At 35.5% G+C, this 3,464-nt stretch overlaps 1 annotated feature.

Moving 5' to 3' along the window:
* Positions 207-3,018: an enhancer, noted in NCBI's record as "VISTA enhancer hs1462". NCBI's record gives its function as "enhancer in: limb[5/9]" and the evidence as "EXISTENCE:transgenic organism evidence [ECO:0001131][PMID:17130149]".

Genomic DNA, 3,464 nt, shown 5'->3' with positions numbered 1-3,464 from the left:
CGCCACACCCTACAAGGTTGTGTTATAAGCTTAGAAGTTAGGAGAAGTTTTCACCTCACTGTATTGCGTCTTCACTCACTGTCTCAGGTGTCTCTCCATTCTCAGAAACAACTTTATTTCCTTCCATCTACAGGAGCTGAGCCATGGGTATAGGTAGAGCTTCTCTATCCTCCTATCACCATAGTTACCTGAATCTAGCCCCTAAGAAACCTCGCACATTCCATTCTGGTACAATGATGGTTCTCAATTGTTTTTGTCTAAAGTCGTCAGTGATATAAACTGACTCCCTACTCAATCTCTACCCATGCCTTCTTTCTACCAGAGTTGCATCTAGCAACTGAACATCAGCTATCTGGCTCAAGAAAGAAAATAAATTATGTCTATTTCCTTAAAGAACCATAGTGTTTCCGTAACTTTTCGACTCTGGTTTCCTCCTGCAACTCCTCAAGACCACCTTAGTTTCCACCTAACCAGTGGTGAACAGGTTACAGATACAGTCCACCTGCAGATTGGTTTTCTTATAGGAAGGCAAAAAGAAGAAAATCGATGTGTGTGAAGCTTTTAAATACTCTCCTTAAAATGTCTCTCCTGAGTTCTACTCTTCCACAATTATTGAAGATTAAAGAGTTTCTATAATTCACTTGCAAAATTATTTGACATGTTGAAATAATTCAGTTAAAACTTTATTTCTATAGTTGGTATGCTAAGTTTTCAATTTCTTAGCTATTTTCTCTTTTACTAAAAAAAAAGAGCATGGTAGCAGAAAGTTAAACTGGAGTAAAATAGCTAAAATAATGTACTTTAAAATCTATTTTGTTTATGCTGAAAATGTCTTCTGAAAGGCCGTATTAATATTTACTTTATTTTATACGTCTAAATTTTTTTTAATTCTGGGGTTATGGAATTTGAAAATTGTTTGATTCTAATTAATCAGAATTTTCTTTTATTTAGTTCTGGAAACCCATAAAAAGTTATTAGCTGTCAGCAGCTTTAATGCCAGTTTATTAGAGGCCCTGATTCAGTGCCTGCTGATAGTTATTGTGAAGGCTGAAAGGTTAACAAGAATGGGCTGCTACCAACCGCCTTGCCAGGTGTTTTTCCCTGCAGTTAATGGACTTGAGCCAATTGAAATTATTACTCTAGAACAAGTTGCAGACACTCTTAATCTTCCCATAGAAACATTGCTAGGGGAAAAAAAATCTGGGATTTGTATTGTTGCTTTTCACCATTGTAAAATTTGGAACAATTAAAATAAACTATAGCTAATCTTCTATTTGTAAATGAAGGCTTGACAACTCTAAAAAGAAAGAAAGAAATCTTTAAAAATAATGTGCATGTGTAGCATGTTTCATTAAACTAATAACAGTCCCTTCAATGAAACAATGTGTTGTAAAACCTTTCCCAATTTTTCTTTTGAGGCATGGTGGTTAAGGGCTACATAAGTATTAACATGTCTAAGTTCTTTTAATTGCTGGGTTTATAAATCTGAACAGCTGTAATGAAATAATCAGAAACAACCAGATGGAATTGGAGCCAGTCACCATGGGTATTTGAGAAGTGCATACTGTTTGGGGAGACTGAATATGTACTGATCCAATCTAAAATGGAGCAGATGGCAAAGCAAACAGGTAAGCATTTGCTTTATCTTCCAGATATTGTGATTCACTGATTACCTCTATTTATTTTGGGAACTTTAGAACATCTGTAAAAATCAGATGAAAGACAAACAGAGGTGACTGCAAAATACTTGAATAACGTGTGGAATTTTAGAGCTTTCTCATTGTCAGATGAAGACAGAGGGATTCTCACCACTTGCCAATCTTTAGGAATCACATAGAATTTTAGGTAGAAACACATGAAATTAACTGCTTAACCACAGAAAATGCAAAGGAAGTAAATGCTTTAATTGCATAAAATCCAAAATTAGATAAGTGGGAACAAGAGAAAGAGGAATGGAAATGGACCAGATACAGTAGAAGTGGAAATTGGTCATGCCCAACCTAACATTGATGTGCTCATCTGGTGCCAACATCTTAGTTTCTAAATACCATTCTCCCCATAAAGGAACTTCAGTTCCTTGGAAAAATGGCTGAGGGCAAGAAAAATCGCTGATGATTTTAAATGTTCTTATAATGTCAGAAAACAAGAAGGTCCTCAATGATTAATGGGGACATAACAAAAAGGCATAAGGACAAGTTTGAAAGATCCAGCTGACCAAATTTGAGACTATTTGAGCATTAAAGAAAAAAAATCATAACATATTGCATTTTAAGTCAACTAAATATAGAGGGGGTAGCAGGAAAAAAAAAAAAAAAAACCTCAAAAAAAGTATGCCAGCTACTATAAGTGGAAGAAATGATACAATTAGAAAATAACTATTTTGCAAACAATCTCAGAATTGATTTAGGCAACAATCATCAAATATTACTTAAAAACATAGAGTAAAATGACCTCCACATTGTCAGCATTTCACCCAACAGATTATTATGAATTATGAAGGAAAAAAAGGGAAATTTTGCAATAGTGAGAACATCTTAGCCCAGGGATCAAAGTAAGCATCACCAATAATGGGACAAATTACCATTATGTACCTCCTGATATGATACAATGGGAAGCCACAATATCACCTTGCTGTCATGTTCCTGAACAAAATATTTAACCTGATGTGTTCCAAATTGTGGAACATTTTCCAGAACAGTTTACCTGAATTTGTCAAAACTGTCAAGATACGAAAGGCCAAACAAATTAACAAACAAAACAAAAGAGATGATTATAGATTAAAGGAAGCTAAGAACACATGATAACCAAAGGCAAATTGTGATCCCTGGTTAGATTCTAAAAAGTAAAAATATTAAAAACCACATTCACACAACTTATAGGGGAAACACATAAAACAATTGGAGAACTTTGAATAGAACTGTATGTTGAATAATATTATTAATGTTCAGTTTCTCAGATATGAAAACTAATGTTCCTGTGGAAGCATGATGCTGTTCTTATAAGGCATGTGCTGAAGCATTTAGGATAAAATAGCATGATGTCTGCAACTTACTTTCAAATGTTTTAGAAAACAAAAAGGCAGTGGGGCGGGGTGGGGGGAACATAACAGTAAGTCTGAAGGCCCTGTGGAGGCAGTTTGCATGGAATGTACCAGAACCTGCAAAATGACATGGCTGGTTGAAGTGGAATGAGGAAGAGAATTATGGAACCAGGGCTAGCTTTGGTGTATGTGGTGCCTTTGTTATATTTTTTAAAGGTTTGCCACAGGTGAGCATGGAATTGTGCAAAGAAGAAGGTATCTCTTCTCCAAGGGGCATTTGTGTGTTTGCCCTGTTGCCCTCAGTTTGGCACCTTCTACAGACATAAACTGCACATTCATATGCAATGATCCCCAGTAGAATGCCAAGGAAAAAAATAGGAAGAAAAAGTCAATTCAAACATATAACAGAGATGAGTCTCATCTG

The sequence above is a fragment of the Homo sapiens genome, chromosome 3 (assembly GCF_000001405.40).
Source record: "Homo sapiens chromosome 3, GRCh38.p14 Primary Assembly".
Taxonomy (NCBI): Eukaryota; Metazoa; Chordata; class Mammalia; order Primates; family Hominidae; genus Homo; species Homo sapiens.
This window is presented reverse-complemented; position numbering and strand designations above follow the sequence as displayed.